The sequence below is a fragment of the Homo sapiens genome, chromosome 10 (assembly GCF_000001405.40).
Source record: "Homo sapiens chromosome 10, GRCh38.p14 Primary Assembly".
NCBI lineage: Eukaryota > Metazoa > Chordata > Mammalia > Primates > Hominidae > Homo > Homo sapiens.
In genome coordinates, this window is record NC_000010.11 from 103592830 (window position 1) to 103610511 (window position 17682).

The 17682-nt window shown below is 52.6% G+C and overlaps 1 protein-coding gene across 11 annotated transcripts in view, besides 2 other annotated features; it reads right to left on the reverse strand.

The window, feature by feature from the left end:
* Window positions 1-1197: 1197 nt before the first annotated feature.
* The window catches only part of SH3PXD2A (SH3 and PX domains 2A), a 261550-nt gene continuing 245065 nt past the window's right edge, over window positions 1198-17682 (reverse strand). For all 11 annotated transcript variants that reach the window (NM_014631.3, NM_001394015.1, NM_001394020.1 and 8 more), the window contains 2 exons: window positions 12969-13088; window positions 1198-10960 (listed from right to left, as the gene is read on the reverse strand). In NM_014631.3, the coding sequence (NP_055446.2) occupies window positions 8987-10960; window positions 12969-13088 (2094 nt within the window). In that variant the 3' untranslated portion in view covers window positions 1198-8986. The remainder of the gene's footprint in view (window positions 10961-12968; window positions 13089-17682) is intronic.
* Window positions 6023-6317: an enhancer, noted in NCBI's record as "tiled region #15000; HepG2 Activating DNase unmatched - State 12:CtcfO, and K562 Activating DNase unmatched - State 12:CtcfO". NCBI's record gives its function as "activates a minimal TATA promoter and a strong SV40 promoter by Sharpr-MPRA in HepG2 and K562 cells {active_cell/tissue: HepG2 | K562}" and the evidence as "EXISTENCE:reporter gene assay evidence [ECO:0000049][PMID:27701403]".
* Window positions 14535-15392: an enhancer, noted in NCBI's record as "NANOG-H3K27ac-H3K4me1 hESC enhancer chr10:105367121-105367978 (GRCh37/hg19 assembly coordinates)". NCBI's record gives its function as "activates a minimal SCP1, AML or CMV promoter by ChIP-STARR-seq in naive H9 embryonic stem cells {active_cell/tissue: H9 hESC(naive)}" and the evidence as "EXISTENCE:reporter gene assay evidence [ECO:0000049][PMID:30033119]".

Genomic DNA, 17682 nt, shown 5'->3' on the forward strand with positions numbered 1-17682 from the left:
AGGGTGTGGTGGGGAAGGTGCCCTGGGATGGGGCTTCTCCTTAAGGCTGAGCAGGGCTCAAATCTGCCGCTTGTAGGGGGGTGCGCAGTGCCACCTAGGGGGCTAATGGGAGGATGACAAGTGGTCAACTCAGGTCATCAGGGGCTGTGCTCTGAGCTCCCCAGGAACAAGGCTTCCACCCCTCTCCCCAGGCTCAGACCCCCACATCTGGAGGGAGTTCAGCTGTGTTCCCACTGGTGGGTGCAGAGGCCTATACCAAATGGGTGGTGCCACTGAGGAGAAAAGGGAAGCCTCTGGATAGAGTCCTTTAGAGAAGTGTTCTAGATGCGCTAAGTGATCCGAGTGGTGGGGAAGGCTGAGGGGAGAGGGGTGGTGGGGAGGAGGCAGCCAGACTGGCCCCAAGGTCTAGGCACAGTGTTGGAATTGAGCTCATTTGGCAGCACCAGGCCTCAGAGGCACATGGGATACCTGCCTGCCCATCCTGTTCCAGGGAGGATGCTCAGGCTACCCAGCCTCTGCATGGCCTTGCACAGCCATGGCCTGTTCCTTGCATCAGGGTTACCTGGTCCTGCTTACTGGGGTCCAGCAAAAGCAGGAGAGGGTCGGGGGGCCATGCTAAGGAGCCAGCTAGGCCTGCTGGATGTGGGTCCTTGGCCCCAAGATCTGCATCTTTCAAAGCCTTGGCCACTGCCCAGAAAGCCTCCCAAAAGTGGGGAAGAGGCTGGAGGAGCTTGACCACAGCTCTCACCAAGAGTGAGAGCTGGCTCATGTCTGTAATCCCAGACTTTGGGAGGCTGAGGCAGGAGGATTGCTTGAGCCCAGGAGCTTGAGACCAGCCTTGGCAACATAGCAAGAACCTGTCTCTACAAATAATAGAAAAATCATCTGGGCATGGTGGTGCGCCTGTAGTCCCAACTACTCAGGAGGCTGAGGTGGGAGGATCGCTTGAGTAAGGGAGGTCGAGGTTGCAGTGACCTATGATCATGCTACTGCACTCCAGCCTGGGTGACAGGGTGAGACCCTGTTAAAAAAAAAAAAAAAAGCGAGAGCTTACCTACCTGCCCCCACCCTCCAGTGTCCTTTCTTTCAGAGGGCCCTGGGATCCTGAAGTCCACTTTGCAATTTGGGATAATGGGACATTGGCTGTTCAGCTGGATGGGTGTTTTTGGTGACAGGGAGAATTAAGAGGTGATTCCGTTCGGTTAAAAAGGCCCAAAACTTTATTTAGTTTTCAGGGAAATATAAGATGCATGTAAACATAAAATACAAAACAAAACCCAAATCTTACAGTCTAGAAGCATGCCAAGACAGAGCATTTTCTGCAGACCAAAGAGTCCCGTCAAAGTGATAAAGGACACCTGGAAAGTGGCAGGCCAAGGGGCTGGTCCCTTCCCCAAGGGCACTGCATTTTTGTGATGAGATTAAAAACAAACCAACTCCACTATTAAAAATGCTAGAAACATGGAGATAGTTTAGCACCACCATTGATTCTGGAAATATTTCAGCACTCAAATCGACTGCACTGAGTTTAATGTCCTTTCTCCAGTTTCTCTGCTGAGGAGGAAAGAAGGAAAACCTGGAGGAAGGGCTCCTCCTGACCCCACAGAGCCCACTAAGAGCTGGGAGGGGAATTCCATGAGGAATTCTCCAAGGTTCTGGAGCTCCAGAGACATCCACCAGTCCCCACCCAGCCATGCAGTCCACATGCTCACGCTTCAGGGATTACTGAAGTCTGCCTTGCCCGGGAGTCACTTCCTGCAGACCTCTGAGTACCTGGTGGGGAAACCCATTTCCCATCCTGTGTCTTGGATTTAAAGAAAACCTGTTGCAGATAATGAGTTGTAAATTCAAGGAGGGTGGCTGTTTTGCTGTTCTTTCTCTGCAGTAAACTCTTATGGGGAGTGTGCCTTGGTTATAAGGCAACGCAAAATGGTAGGGTATATCCATGGATGAATGTTCATCACACCCAGTCTAATTCATACCAGGTGGCAGGCTCAGCAAACTGAACCACCACAGGTGTCAGAGATACTTGAGAATGACTGGTACCAACAAGACGACAAAGGAGGTTGCCTTCCTCCCAGATGTGCCCAATGGAGTCTGAACTCTGGTTCTAATTTGTGGAGGTGGGTCCCTACTGTATGACCCATTGTGGTCACTGCTCTTTGAGCCATACAACTTGAGAGACTGGCTTTGGATTGGACAGTCAAAGGGAAGTGGGCAAAACCAGCTGAGAACCCGGGAGCTGGATGCATATATTCTGGAATCAGGGCCTGCAAACTCAAAGATTGGTTTGTGGCTGGTGACTTCTCTCTGCTAAGTAAATCAATGACCATTCATTGAGAACTGATGGGGACCCAGCGTGTGGCCCAATGAGTGGCAGTTTTTTCCTAGCCAGTTTCTGTGGCCAAATTTGGAGGATTTTCCAACCTGCTATGGCTGGACCCTTGGGTGTTAAATCACTAAATTCCCTTTCTACCTGCTCTCTTCTTCCTGAAACACTCAGAGCTGACTTCTTCCTTCTTTCTAATCAACAAAGACAAAACTCCAAGCCCCTTTTCAGCCTTCACACAATTTTTCTTTCTAGAAGACATCCGCTTCTGGAAGCCTCCTTCCCTAATGAAGGGACAGTAGGCCCCAGCTACCCCAAACATGCACATGCTCTTCTCACCAACGTGCCTCTCACTTGCCTCTAACGTGCTCGAGCCATCCTTTTGTTCTAAATAATTCTTCCTCCCTCCCTCCCTTTTTTCTCTTTCACCTCTTGAGGCGCAGCCTATTGGCCAGGATGGAACTGGGAGCAAGGCGGGGACCTTCAGTGCAGGGGACCCCATTCTCTAAGGCCACTGAGTTCTAGGACTGGAGTAGGAGAGGGTGCTGTTGTCAAGGTTAAGTGCAAACTTGAGATTTTAAAAAGACAGGATTGGGGAAGGGGGATTGCATGCTAATCCCAACCTTATAGGCAGGCTGGGATCAAGACCTTGGAAGGTAGGGCTCTCCACCCAGTCTGTAAGCACCAGTGTGCCCACCTTATGGCCTGGGGACCCAGGTTTGCAGGAGGGAAGTTAACAGTGGGGCTGTTTTTCCCCAAAGCTGTGGGTCACTGATCCTGTCTTCTCACTGGCTCTGATCATGCAGCTTGGGAACCACAGAGACATGAGACTGCACCAAACAGGGCTGATGATTTAGCCAGAAACTCAGGAAGGTCTAGCACAGCCCTCCACACACTTCCCAGGAAGTGTTTGGTCTGGCCCTGCAGTTGGGACTAAACTTATATGCACCTGCAGGTCTTGTTGGGTGCACCGTGAGCAAGTTCTCACCCCAACCACCTGACCCACCCTCTGAAACAAGGACGAAAGGGCTGGCAGCTTTCATTATAAGGGGCTTCTCATACCCATGGCATGGCTGAGGGGTGGGAGTCAGCCTGCTCGATGACACGTCTGCAGGGGATGACCTAACTGAACCAACTCAGTGTTTCTATTCCCAGTGGCATCTCTTTTGCACATCTTCATTTTGGAGCCTGGGATGACTGCCTAGGCCACTTATGCTAGACCTGTTAATGCCAGTGTGAAATTTCCAACTAAATACTTAATAAAATAATTACAAAAAGAAAAAAAAATGACACATTGCACTCTCCAGCCAGAATGATGTGTGTGAATGACACACTTGCTGCCAGAAGCTGTGAGTCCCTTGGGACCTGCCCATTGCCAAGGACTTGTTCAATGGAGACAGCTTGCCTGGTATTTTTTTTTCTCTAACCCCATGTTATTTAGTTCAAGTGGGAAGTTACCAACACTTGCATACACAGACACACACACACACACACACACACACACACTCTCTCTCTCTCTCTCTCTCTCACAACACATGGCCCTCAAAAAAGTGAGGGAATCTTAATTATTTAGCAATGTGGACAGTTCTCTTCCCAGAGAGCTCTGCTTTGAGATTCTCAAAGACTAAATATCTAGATGGATATACGCCAAGGGAGAGACCCGCACAGGGCACAGTCCCATTCCAGGCACAGAGATCTGTGTCTGTGCAGAAATTCACCAAATAGGGGGTTGAAGTAGCAAGCATACAGTACTGGAGGTGGAGGGAACAAGCCACAGGGACGTCCCTGTCACCTTGAGGGGCAGAGCTCTGAGGCTCCAACCCAGAGGAAACTTCCCATTCTGTTGCTTTCTCTACCGGTGCTGAGGAAGGAGGCCAGATTGGTACCTGTTGTGGGAAGTTTTGTCTGCAGAGAAACTTGAATAGACCCCCCGACTCTTCCCGGAGCAGAATTTGTATGGACTCTCTGGGTGTGGAGCCCAGGCAGGGCTCACTTCTCAGGCTGAAGTCGCTGAGATGAATGGGCAGCCCAGGCTCAGCCCCAGGCCCTGCTGCAGGCTTGTGGGAATTGGTGTCTCACCAGGGTGTGCGCGGCTCAAGGTTCTCACATCCCCCAAAAAGATCTGGTGACTTCTAGGCTTCCTGCCTAGAAACTGAACTGAGGGCACCCAGTTTTAGAAAGATTCAAACATACACCAGAAGGATCACAGCCCAAATATCAGGACACTGGGGTGAGAGAGGGCTGCTGGGAGTCATTTTTAGGCCAGGTCTCTCTGAGCAGCTGGCTGCACCACAACAGAAATCAAAACAAGGAACAGCTCCCGAGGGCCTGCCTCTGCTCCAGGGACTGGGGCCTAGAGGTCAAGGGCCCCATGCCTGAATCCCTTTCTTCTGGGTGGATCTGGCAGGGACCCCTATCATCTTCCCAAAGAAGGGGGAGAGGAGAACGCCACAAGATCAAACTCCACCAACCCACCCACCTGTTCCACAGCTAGGATTCCTTCAGCACCCCGCTCCCTGCCTCTTGCTCTCTGAGCGCCACTGGTATTCCCTCCATTGTCCCCAATGAGCCCTGGCATCCATCTTGGTAATATTGCACTTTTCCTGTCTCTCAGATTGTTTCCATTTTTGATTGAGAATGCAAGGTATTTGGAGGGGTAGGGGAAGTGAGTAACCTTAAAGAAATAATATATTAGTTAAATACAATAACAGGAAAAATAGGGGTTATTTTATCTTTTTCCCCTTATTAAAAACAAGAACTACCAAACCAAGGTCTAAACTTAAATAGTCCTACACCTATTCTGCAAACACTAGTAATAGGAAAATAATGCCTGACTGGAATTCCCTTGTCTTTTTTCCTTAGATGATAAAAGTAGTAACATGCCTTGCTGAGGAAAGCAATGGATATAAATGCCTGTAAAATACGCTGCTCTAACATCTGAAAGTGATTAAAATGATTCTATATAATGCCTTCGTCAAGATGGAAAATCAAGGAGGAAGAAAGAGAAACCTTTGGGGCCAGGCTTAGGGTAGACGGGGCTGAGGCCTGGCAAGACAGCCCGTCTACAGTCATTGGACATAGGGGAAACCCACAGGGCATGGGGCACACCTGCTGCTCAGGGTTGCCCCTTTCCAGCTCTCTCTCACTGCCCCCAAAGTCCCATGGCCTGGTGAGAATAGTGAGGAGGAGAGGGGCAACACAGCCAGGTCTGCTGTCACAAAGAGGGATGAGGTGGGGGGAGATGACATTTTTTTCCCCTTGCAATAAAAGAAAAAGGTCTTGAAACGGAAAGGAAAACAAAGCACCAAATGCTGCATCTTCGGGCATTATATGAACCTCAATAATGACCTCAGAAGGGCTCATTATGGTTAAAGTTGCAGTATACAGCAATACAGTGTCGTTTCACATTTTCAGTCGCAACTCATGGGAAACTAGGTTTGGACACTGCGGAGATTTTGTTTTTCTTTTTCCTTTTTTAGTCCGATCTGGTTTTCCTCCAGATGGGTCAGAGCCCTAGGCCCCCTCCCTCCTCTGCCTGCTGCCGGCAGTATCCTTCAGCATCACAAAGCAGCTCAGTAGCTCAAGGGAAAGGCCCTCTCGCCCTGGCTAGGGCTAGGAGGCCAGGCGCACAAGGCCTGGTACCCCCTGGCCATGTCGGAGAAGGACTGGCATGCACCCTTCTTGCTTCAAGTATTAATATTCTCTTTGGGTTTGCAGGGTTTGTGCTGTGAGTTAGGGGGTGAGGGGGCGAGGTGCGAAGACTGGGGCATGGCAATCCCTGTTCACTGCCCAAATCTACATGCTGTCACCAGATGGCAGCATTCCCCACTTTTCCTGGATGCCTGAGCAACTCCCAGCCATCCTTGGGGCTGGATGTCACAATGTAAACATGACCACACAATAAACTATAATGGCAGTGAGGAGGAGCACGGGATTAATGTAGTGGGGAGATCTGTCATTAACTAGCTGTGGGATTTTGGAAAAGTTGTTTCCTGTCCTTGGGCCGCAGTAACAGGAAGGGATGGGATAGAGACCTCTGAGGTCTCTTTCAGTCCTGCATTTTAATGACTCTATTACTTACAGCACTGGGGGTCAAGGAGAGGGGGTCCTTGGGGGGGGCTGGGAGAATGTGGGGGGCAGTGCAGGTGGTGGGGAAGGGCAGGAAAGGCAGGCTCTCGGGAGCACTGTGGTCCAGTCCAACTGAGATGCTCTGTGCTTGGCAGACATGCTCTGCACTCCCTCCTGGCCTGGCTGGCGCACTAGTGACTGAACTGGCTCAGTGCAGACATCTGAGGAGCGAGGCTGCAGGGCCCTCCCCCTGGAAGATAGCTACATTGAAGGTTCTTTACCTGACAGTCACTCTACTTTTAAATTTTATTTTAAATAGTCATAAATTACTTTTTTTCTCTTAATAAATATGTGCTGTTTAAAAATGAGAAAAGTATATACTGCATCTTTAAGTAATGCACTTTGCTCTCTGGGTTTTTTCCATTCTACCTTATTTAAAGTGCATTAATTAAAAAATAATGAACCACTTCTTTATCATTATTGTTCAAATAAGTACAAATAATATTAACATGAAGACACTAAACCACTACCATTAGTACTGCAATCTAGCAGATTAACTCAACATCCTGCTCTATTTAATACTGTCCAGCAGAAGAAAATAACTAATTTCAATTTTAAACAAACTCACAAAACAAAAGGAAACAAAACAATCTCACCACAGGCCTTCGACAAAGAACACGAGCCATTTGCTCTAGCTGCCAGGCATCAGTGTATGGCGAGGGACAGGGGCTTAGGGTTGCCCAGGCAAGGCCTCTGGGATGGGGTGTGGTGGGGTAGGGTAGGGGTGGGGGTGGGTTTTGAAGGCACTGAGACACTGGGTCCCATGCTGCCCTGCCTGGGTGGGGAGCAGGGTGAGGGAGGGCCTTTCCTCCTCTATAGAAAACACCAACCCCCAGTCCAGGGACCCTGGCAGCTGAATCGGTGGCTGTGAGGCCCAATCTGTCCGAAATCAAAGGCACGTGTGGAAATCCACTCCCAGCGAAGGGGGAGTCCTTGGGGGAAGCCGGCTGGGCTTCTGGAGGGTCCCCTCTGAAATGTCAACAATTGAAAAACACAACCCAAAGGTGACAGAGGACCTACAGGGAACTTTATTCTCTCGCTTCTGTCTTCACTGGGGCACTGACCCTCGGGAAGACCAGGTTGGCTCCTGGCACAGGGATCCTCCATCTTCTTGGGCACCTGTGGCATTGCCAGCAGGCCAGAGGGGGTGGCTGGCGGTGTTGGCTCCAGTCTGACCCAAGGGGCCAGCCGGGTCCCCCCTCTGCCCATAGTGGGGACAATGGCTGCTTCTCCATGCTTCATACGTAAGGCTTCCAGCCCTGCCCAGCTGGGGAACACACGCAGAATGGCGGTCACCCAGCAGGCTGGGAGCTGCCTTCTCTCCAAAAGTCTGGCTCCTGAACACCCTCCTCCTTCCTGGGGAGGGTTTTTGCCCCTCTGAGGTTGTGCAGGAACCAGAAGAACAGTTTCTCTGCTTCACCATGTCTGCAACCTGGGGCTTGCCTAGCCCCAAATTTTTCTGGCAGGCGCCAAGCTCCAGCACAGTCCACACAGTGGAAACCAAATGAAACGACTTTGGCTTGTGGAGGGGGAAGAATGTGAAACAAAAACAAAAGCAAAATCACCCGCCCACAAGATACAACAGAAACCCCATCCACTACCCATCCCCTTCCCATGTGAGGCCGACCACCCAGGCCCCCAAACAACCCCTAAAATAAGACGCAAACCAAAGGCCTGACATATAAGCCCCAAATCAACAAACCTCTCCCGAAACATGCAAAGGAACTGCCCGCCCAGAAATACCCAAAATAGTCTGTGCAGATTAGGAAGAGACCGGTGGCTTCGCCCACCCTCTCTGTAAACTCTGGTACTGTGTCCTCCATGGGGTGCCCCACGGAGAGCGGGCTCTCTTCTCAAGGCCAAGACAGTGACAGTTATGAAAGATGGTCTTTGCTGGCACCTGGGAACTGCTTTTTCTTCAACTAACAGTGACAATGGCCTGGCCCAGAAGCAGGCTTGAGCTCAGAAGACACCCCCAAGCCTGAAAGCCAGTGGTGGCTTCTAATGTACCCACCTGTGGTAGGCGTGGCAATGCCCAGGAAACCAGCACAATTCACAAATACAGCTTAGGACAATACCAGGGATACCTGGGGTGGCAAGATGCCAGCAATCAAAACTGGGCCAAGCAGGGGCAGGACACTGGAGGCCCCCATGACCTTGTCTTTTCCAGATCTGTAGCAAAGGCACAACTGGGGTCTCCCACATGGCCTGTCCCAGATGGCATGTAATCCATTGGTGAAGTCCCTATGGTGCACAGGATATCTCAGCTTTCTTGGCTCTGGGTCCCAGGCCTGGGACTCCCTGGTCCATTCCCTTCCTCACTCAGTGTGGGCACCCCCATCCCCTACCTTCCAGCTGTGGGATGGCTTGGACAGGGGGCATCTTTGAGGTCACCCATTCTGCAGTGTTGAATGTTGTCCACCCCCCACCCCCCACCCCCATTTTTTCCTTTCCCTTTTGTTCGTCTCACCGCTCATCCAGTGGGCGGCCAGAGAGGCACACTGAGGCTGGAAGAGCCCAGGCCCTCTGCTAGTTCTTTTTCTCAAGGTAGTTGGAAGGCACCCAGCCTTTGAAGGGCTTCACACCATCCAGGATCTGGCAGTACCACCAGCCATTAGGGTTCCTCTCCAGAACCTCCATGGACACCCCCTCCTGGAAGCCTGCTGTCTCCTCATCCCCCTCGTAGTCTGCGATAGAGACGTACACATCTTTGAGGTTATTGTGGATGAACTGAGACTTCTCGATGGGCTTGGGGCGCACAGGGGACACGGGTATGCTGTTGCGCTGGGCGGGCAGTAGGGGTGAGTCTGAACCCTGGCTGGCAGCCCGTTCGGCCAGGCGGCCCTTGGCCTCGGCGGCAGCGGAGCGAGCAGTGCTAAAGGAGGAGTTCCGTCGGACGCCTCGGAGGCCATCAGTGGCCGTGAGTGACTCATTCCTCCGCAGGGCGCAGGACAGGTTGTTGTCCTTGGGTGGCGGGGACACAAACACCGACTGGGGCCTGACCGCCACCTGCCGCACTCCGTTCCTCATCTTCACCGCTGGAGTGCCTGAGGTCTTGCCGAAGCCCCCGGGAGGTTTGGAGGGGATGGGGGGCGTGGCCTTCTTGCTCTGGTTGACGGTGTTCAGTGCTTGGACGCGCCTCTCGATCTTCTCCAGGCTGTCTGATTTGCCTTCGTTCTGCCTGCCCTTGGCGGGCACTGTGTCCAGCTCTTTGCCAGAGGGGTCAGGTTGCTCGTTCTCATCCAGCACCAAATAGTGGGAAGGGGCCCAGCCCTCCAGCTCCCCAAACCTCACATACCACCACCCGCTCTCCTGCTTCTCCAGCACCTGCACCTCCACGCCCGCGGGGAAGCTGATCTCCGAGTCCTGGACCTTCTGGTAGGCGCTGCATGTCATGTACGAGGTGGCTGGCCCTTCCCATTCCTTCTTGGTGGGACATGGGGGAGTGGTGGCTGGGAGGGTGATGAGGTCGGATGAGCTTCTCCTAGACCCCTCACTGGGAGCCTCGGAGGCCGTCTGCGGGGGCAGCTCCGAATCCTCACTCTTGGAGCCCTTGAGCCCTCCACGGAGCTGGCCTGTGGGTCTCAGCTGGCGCCGTAAAGTGCTGATGTCCATCTTCTCTTGGCTCTGCGACTCTGCTCGGTTTAGGAATGGCTTGGGCCGGACCGATGGCTTGGCCCGGGGACAGGAGGTCAGCCCAGCGTTCGCATCAGCATCCTTCTTTGCCCTGACCTTGGGAGTGCCGCGGATGCCTGCGTCCGAAGCAGAGCGGGGCTTCAGGTCGCCACTGGTTTTGGACAAGGAAGAGGAGGAGGAGGAAGAGGAGGAGCAGCAAGTGGTGTTGATGGTGATGGATGAGGAAAAGGAGGCTGAGGAGTGGTTCTTCCCCATTTCTGCCTGGGCATTCTTCTCTGCCTTGAGCTTTAGGAGTGATGATGACTTGGGGGAGCCTGATTTGGGGGAGTTTTTCCTGGTCAGGGACAGCGAGGAGCTGCCTGGGGAGTCGCTGTCCCCGGAGGAGCCTCTGGCTGACAGGGTGTCCTCTGCATATGGCCGGAAGCCCTCATTCTCATAGATGGTCTCCTCTTCCAGGGCCACATCCTCTGAAGACTCACCCACCTTGAAGCGGGCCCGCTGCAGAGAAGAGGCCGGCGAGGGCCGGTGGGGCTGGGCAGGCCGCCTCTCCCCTGAGGCTCTGTCCTCCACGGGCTCCTCGCTCAGCTCAGGCTCTGAGTCAAAGCCGAATGCAGGGATGTCATACTCAGGCTCCTCATACTTGAGCTTCCGCGGGGAGTCCTGGCTCTCACTGGCCCCCGTAGGGCCCTCCTCGGCCTCCTTGGGCTTGCTGGGGGGTGCTGGCGGGGGCACCTTGGGCCGGGTCAGCGTGCTTGTGCGGCGGCTCAGGTTGGGCTTCTTGCGCTTATCGATGTATGATGCGGGGGCCCAGCCCTCCTTCTCACCGATCTGCACGTACCACCAGCCACCTGAGTTCTTATCAATGACCTGGGGTACGAGTGCAGACAAGCCAGTGAGTTGGGAGGATCTGGAACCCTATGACATCCCAAGGTAGGAGTATCATACTTTGGCTCTGGGATAAATTATCTCCATTTTACAGATAATAAACCGAGCCACTGAGTAAGTGGCCCAAAACCCAATATAGTAAATAATGCACCAGAATTCAAACCTAGGTCTCTATCATCTCATGGTTGGTGGGTTCCCACTTGCCAAGTTCCCTCCCTGATCCTCCATGTCTGTGTTAACAGCCGGGTTGAGCTGGCCCACTCTGCCTCCCCCTAAACTGCACTGTTCCCAGTCCCTACAATCCTGCCAGTAGACTAAGGACACGTATGAAGAAAACACTGCCCTTCTGCTGCCCCTTCCCTCCTCGTACCCTCGATGTTGCTAGGTCCTCCCTTTGAGTTCCTTGAAAGGGTCTCTAGGGTCAGAAGAGTATGGGAAGATGCAGATGAAGTGACCTGGGAGGTACAGGCCCGAGGCCAGAGCCTCTCTGCAGAGCCTTTCCCCAGGATCCACCCGCTGTGGTCATCTTACTGGAATCCCACTGAAATCCCACTAGCTGAAGAGATTTCTTTGGGTTGATTGGTTTCCTGTAGGAAGGGCAGGGGGCTTTCAGTCATTTCCATGTTAGTATAAACTGGTTTAAGGAGCTTCTTCCTTAACTTCTGGAGATCAACCAATGGCCAAAAGTGTGGCTGCTGGTTGTGCTGGGGTCCATTTGGACTGGGGAACATAAAGGGCAGATAACTGGGGATTGTGGGACACTCCTGGAGGAAAAGGTCCTGGGGTGGGGAAGGGGTAGCGTGAAAACACTGGCACTATGGGAAGAGGGCCAAGGAGGGAGGGAAAGGTGAAGAATGCAAAGGCAAGAAGAGACCAGTCCTCTGCATCCCCCACTAGAAGAGAAAGATTTTCTCCTTCTTTGGGTCCTACATTCTGTCCTTCACCCTGCCCCAGCCCTGTACCTACAGTTCAAGCACAGGTGGCTCCTGAGCCTGACAGTTCTGCCACATTATGCTCTTTACAGACTCTCCTGGAAACCTCAGTACAGAGAGAATGATTTTTCTTGGAAATTTAGTTGCAAGTTCCAGGCATGTGATTTAAAACATTCACATTGGGAATGTCACTGCTTTAGAGGCAGAGACTGCCCAATGAGTCTGACAGGTTCACTTGTATTAGATGGAGTTAACTCAATTACTACACAAAGCCACTCAGAGAATTGACTAAGTTACAGCTCTTCTCTGCTGCCGGGAATACCATGCTCAGCCCCAGCCACAAAATAGAGTGGCATGAATGCTGGAAGACATGCTGGGGGGTGGAGGGGCGTCCCAGGATCTATCACCCTGTTTTGCAGAGAGAAATGCTTAAAGTTGGGGGTGGCGGGTGAGAGAAGTGACTGCATCAAAGGCCAGGGGTCATGTGGTGTGGACTTGGCCAGAGCCCAGGTCCCCAGTATCTCAGTCTACCTGCCTGGTCCACATCCTCCTAACAACACTTCCTGATGTGGCTTCTGCAGGATCCTGGCCCTGAGATGTTCCTGGGAGAGAAAGCTTGTGGGGTTGGGCAATGCTGTCTATTCTAGACCCCTTGTAGGTGACACTCCCAGTGACATCCTTGTATCCTAGGCTCTGGGAAGCCCTGCAATTAAAACAACAAATGGGTTGGATTTTGTTTAATCCACTGTCCTGCAAGCTCATTTGACCAAAGAAGCCCTTTGTTTCAAGGCCCCCCTGTCACAAGCTCCTGCACATGCTCTGGGAAATGTTGTGAGACAAGCCCTGTGAGCTCAGGGTGGAGCGTGAGAGCTGGGATCTAGTTTAGGCCATGGCACTGGCCAGCGCCAGGCAGATGCTCATCTTTGTGGGGCTCATTTCTGTACCTTTCCTGCCTGCCTGCCCCTCAGGAATCTTACTAGCAAGGCCTAAAATGGGAAATGCAGTAGGTTTTCCACCACAATGAGTTAAAACCCTCGGCCTCATGGCCCAAGGCTTACCTCTGCCTTCTGTCCACCCCGAAAGCTGATGCCATCGGAAATGCACGACTGGAATTCGGCAATGGTGTAGTACTCCACCTCAACAGAAGGGGGCTCTGGTGGCTTTGGCAGTTGGAACCCCTAAGGTTAAGGAACACACAGTGGGCAAAACCCGCCTAAATCAGAAGAGTAACTTGGCCAAGGGTTGGTCCCCACTCAGTCCCCAGGGGGTGCGGATGGCCGTTTACACCAGCTGGACAGCAGCTGGCCTGAGTACGTATCTATCATGGGAGTCTCAGGGTATATATCGCCAGGGGACTACTCTGATGAGGCTTTCTAATAATACTCAGGACTCACGGAAGACTTGTCTGAGCTATCAAAATTCTCACATTACTATTACTATCATCATCATCATCATCATCATCATCATCATCATCATCATCATTACTCTGAGATAGGGTCTTGCTTTGGGACCCAGGCTAGAGTGCAGTGGAGTAATCAGAGCTCACTGCAGCCTCCATCTCCTGGGCTCAAGTGATCCTCCCACTTCAGCCTCCCCAGTAGCTGGGACTACAGGCACACACCACCACACCTGGTTAATTTTTTTTTTTTTTTTTGGTAGAGATGGGCTCTCTCAGGATCTGGAAGAATTTGCTAAAAAAAAAAAAAAAAAAAAAAAAAAAGCTCTCCCCCTCCCCCTCCCCTTCCCTCTCCCTCTCCCCACGGTCTCCCTCTCCCTCTCTTTCCACGGTCTCCCTCGGATGCCGAGCCGAAGCTGGACTGTACTGCTGCCATCTCTGCTCACTGCAACCTCCCTGCCTGATTCTCCTGCCTCAGCCTGCCGAGTGCCTGCGATTGCAGGCGCGCGCCGCCATGCCTGACTGGTTTTCGTGTTTTTTTGGTGGAGACGGGGTTTCGCTGTGTTGGCCGGGCTGGTCTCCAGCTCCTAACCGCGAGTGATCCGCCAGCCTCGGCCTCCCGAGGTGCCGGGATTGCAGACGGAGTCTCGTTCACTCAGTGCTCAATGGTGCCCAGGCTGGAGTGCAGCGGCGTGATCTCGGCTCCCTACAACCTCCACCTCCCAGCCGCCTGCCTTGGCCTCCCAAAGTGCGGAGAGTGCAGCCTCTGCCCGGCCGCCACCCCGTCTGGGAAGTGAGGAGCGTCTCTGCCTGGCCGCCCATCGTCTGGGATGTGAGGAGCCCCTCTGCCTGGCTGCTCAGTCTGGAAAGTGAGGAGCGTCTCTGCCCGGCCGCCATCCCATCTAGGAAGTGAGGAGCGCCTCTTCCCGGCCGCCATCCCATCTAGGAAGTGAGGAGCGTCTCTGCCCAGCCGCCCATCGTCTGAGATGTGGGGAGTGCCTCTGCCCTGCCGCCCCGTCTGGGATGTGAGGAGCGCCTCTCCCCGGCCGCGACCCCGTCTGGGAGGTGAGGAGCCTCTCTGCCCAGCCGCCCCGTCTGGGAAGTGAGGAGACTCTCCGCCTGGCAACCGCCCCGTCTGAGAAGTGAGGAGCCCCTCCGCCCGGCAGCCGCCCCGTCTGAGAAGTGAGGAGCCCCTCCGACCGGCAGCTGCCCCGTCTGGGAAGTGAGGAGCGTCTCCGCCCAGCAGCCACCCCGTCCGGGAGGGAGGTGGGGGTCAGCCCCCGCCAGGCCAGCCGCCCTGTCCGGGAGGTGAGGGGCGCCTCTGCCCAGCCGCCCCTACTGGGAGGTGAGGAGCCCCTCTGCCCGGCCAGCCGCCCCGTCCGGGAGGGAGGTGGGGGGGTCAGCCCCCTGCCCGGCCAGCCGCCCCGTCCGGGAGGTGAGGGGCGCCTCTGCCCGGCCGCCCCTACTGGGCAGTGAGGAGCCCCTCTGCCCGGCCACCACCCCGTCTGGGAGGTGTACCCAACAGCTCATTGAGAACGGGCCATGATGACAATGGCGGTTTTGTGGAATAGAAAGGGGGGAAAGGTGGGGAAAAGATTGAGAAATCGGATGGTTGCCGCGTCTGTGTAGAAAGAAGTAGACATGGGAGACTTTTCATTTTGTTCTGTACTAAGAAAAATTCTTCTGCCTTGGGATCCTGTTGATCTGTGACCTTACCCCCAACCCTGTGCTCTCTGAAACATGTGCTGTGTCCACTCAGGGTTAAATGGATTGAGGTCGGTGCAAGATGTGCTTTGTTAAACAGATGCTTGAAGGCAGCATGCTCGTTAAGAGTCATCACCACTCCCTAATCTCAAGTACCCAGGGACACAAACACTGCGGAAGGCCTCGGGGTCCTCTGCCTAGAAAAACCAGAGACCTTTGTTCACTTGTTTGTCTGCTGACCTTCCCTCCACTATTGTCCTATGACCCTGCCAAATCCCCCTCTGCGAGAAACACCCAAGAATGATCAATTTAAAAAAAAAAAAAAAAAAAAGAACACAGGACAGAGGCAGACCCACCAGCAGGGAGAACACCACGTGAAGCCTGGAGTCAGGCTTCCGGAGTCCCGGAAGCCGGGAGAGAGGCGGGGAACAGGTCCTCCTCCCACGCCTTCCCAGGGAACGAGGCCCTGTCGGCACCCTGATCTCCTCGCCCCTAGAACTGGGAGACAACACGTTTCTGCTGTTAAGCCACCCAGTGTGTGGTACTTTGTTACAGCAGCCCCCAAAAATAAAGACACCATTCCATGTCAAGAAAAAAAAAAAAAAAAAAAAGAAAAATTGTGTTGGGATTTAAATTAGAATTTCATCGAATTTACAGATTAGGGATAAAATTGAATAATACCGAGTCTTCTCATCCATAAATGTACCTTATTTCCATTCTGCCAGGCCTTCAATTCATTTTTGTGATTTTTCTTCATCAAAATATTGCACATTTTAATTAAATTATTCTATTCTTTAAAAAAAAAAAAAAAAGAGAAAAAAACTAGAGACAGGGTTTTGCCTGGTCTCAAACTCCTGGGCTCAAGCAATCCTCCTGCCTCAGCCTCCCAAAGTGCTGGAATTACAGGCATAAGCCACTGTGCCCAGCACAAAATGCTCATTATTAATGCAGTAATTTCTAATCTTACATCTCTGGAGGTCTAGTTTTCAGATGCCTCAATAGCTGAATCTCAAAATGAAAATTAAAAAGCAGAGAAATCTCCTGTAATCGTAGTGCTTTGGGAAGCCCAGGTGGGAGGACTGCTTGAGGCCAGGAGTTTGAGATCAGCCTGGGCAAATAGTGAGACCCCATTTCTACCACACACACATACACACACACACACAAAAATTAGGTGGACATGGTGTTATGCACCTGTGGTCCCAGCTACTTGGGAGTCTGAGGCAGGAAAATAGCGTGAGCCCAGGAGTTCGAGGCTGCAGTGAGCTATGAACAGACCACTGCACTCCAGCCCAACTGACAGAGTGAGACTCTGTCTCTGAAAAAAAAAAAAAAAAAGAAAGAAAGAAAAAGCAGAGAAATCATTCTAACAAAGCACTTGCACACTGCCCTGTGGGAGAGGAAGGAAAGCCACTGTCCTGGAGTCTAGGGGTGAGGGCTGCAGGTGGGACTTCTGACAGCACAGGCAAGGCAATGGAGCACAGTGGTCTCTAGTCTGGGGTGTGTGTGTAAGAAGGCAGTGCGGTTGAGTGAGCAAAGTCTTTGGCTGGTCATCATGACAAGGCCAGATAGGCAGGCAAGCACTAAATAAACTCGCAATATTCTGTGGGCAGGGTAGAACTCATTGGAGATCCTCAATGCTTTTCAGAAACTGGCACAGCAGCATCTAAGCATGACATTCAAGGACATTTAGAAGCTGGCTTTGGCCCATGGTTTGTGAGCCTCACCCATTCATTTAACAACTGTTTGTTGTGTGTCTACTGGGTGCCAGACACTGGTCTAAGGCACCGAGCGCCCAGTAGGAAACCAAATGGACAACCCCCTGCCCTTGTGGATTGTATATTTTTGCTTCAATGGTCTTGTCTCTACTCAGCTAAAATGGACTTTGTACCCCGCTATTTATGTCCTCCCTCATGCAAAGGGGTTCAAATAAAGCAATTGGGAAAAAAAGGTGGGAGGGATGAGGGGACGGGAAGAAGCTTGGTGTAGCAGGAAGACCTGGAAAGACCTCAACCTTGGGGCTGGACTCCAATCATAGCAATTTACCAGCTGTGTGGCCCTGGGCAAAGCCCTTGACGTCTCTGAACTTCAGTTCTCTCATCTGTAAAATGGAACTAATACCAGCATCCTGAAGAGGATCCCTGAGATAACATACATCACTTTGGGCCCAGCGAGGGGCATAGGGAGAGCTCAATAAATAGAAGCTGGAACTCAGCACTCCTTCTGAACTTCTCTTCTTCCCAGCCTTCCTCATCCTTCAAGGCTCTGCATGTCCTAACCCCACCAGTTGAAACTGAGCTGAGGCAGAGTGAGTGAGGGGTGGGAGGAAGCTGGTTTTGAGGGATTGAGTGAGAATCTGCCACCTTTCCTGGCCCCAGGGCCTGGCTGTGCAGCCGTGCATGTGAGCAGACACAGCCCAGGCTCAGCCCAGGCCACATCTCTGGCCAGGTGGGATGCAGCTGGGCCTAACTGGAAACAGCAGCCCTGCCTCAGCAATCCCCACATTTGGTAAGTGTGGAAGGAATTACCCCATTCTTGCCAAAATCAAGTCTGCCTGAAAATAATTAGCCGTGGCTAGGAGAGATGGTTGAGAGGGAGAATTCAGTGTTTGGGTGTGTAAAACTCAGGAGGAAAAAGAGAAACTCCACTGGGGTCCATGGCCAAGGCAAGGAAGG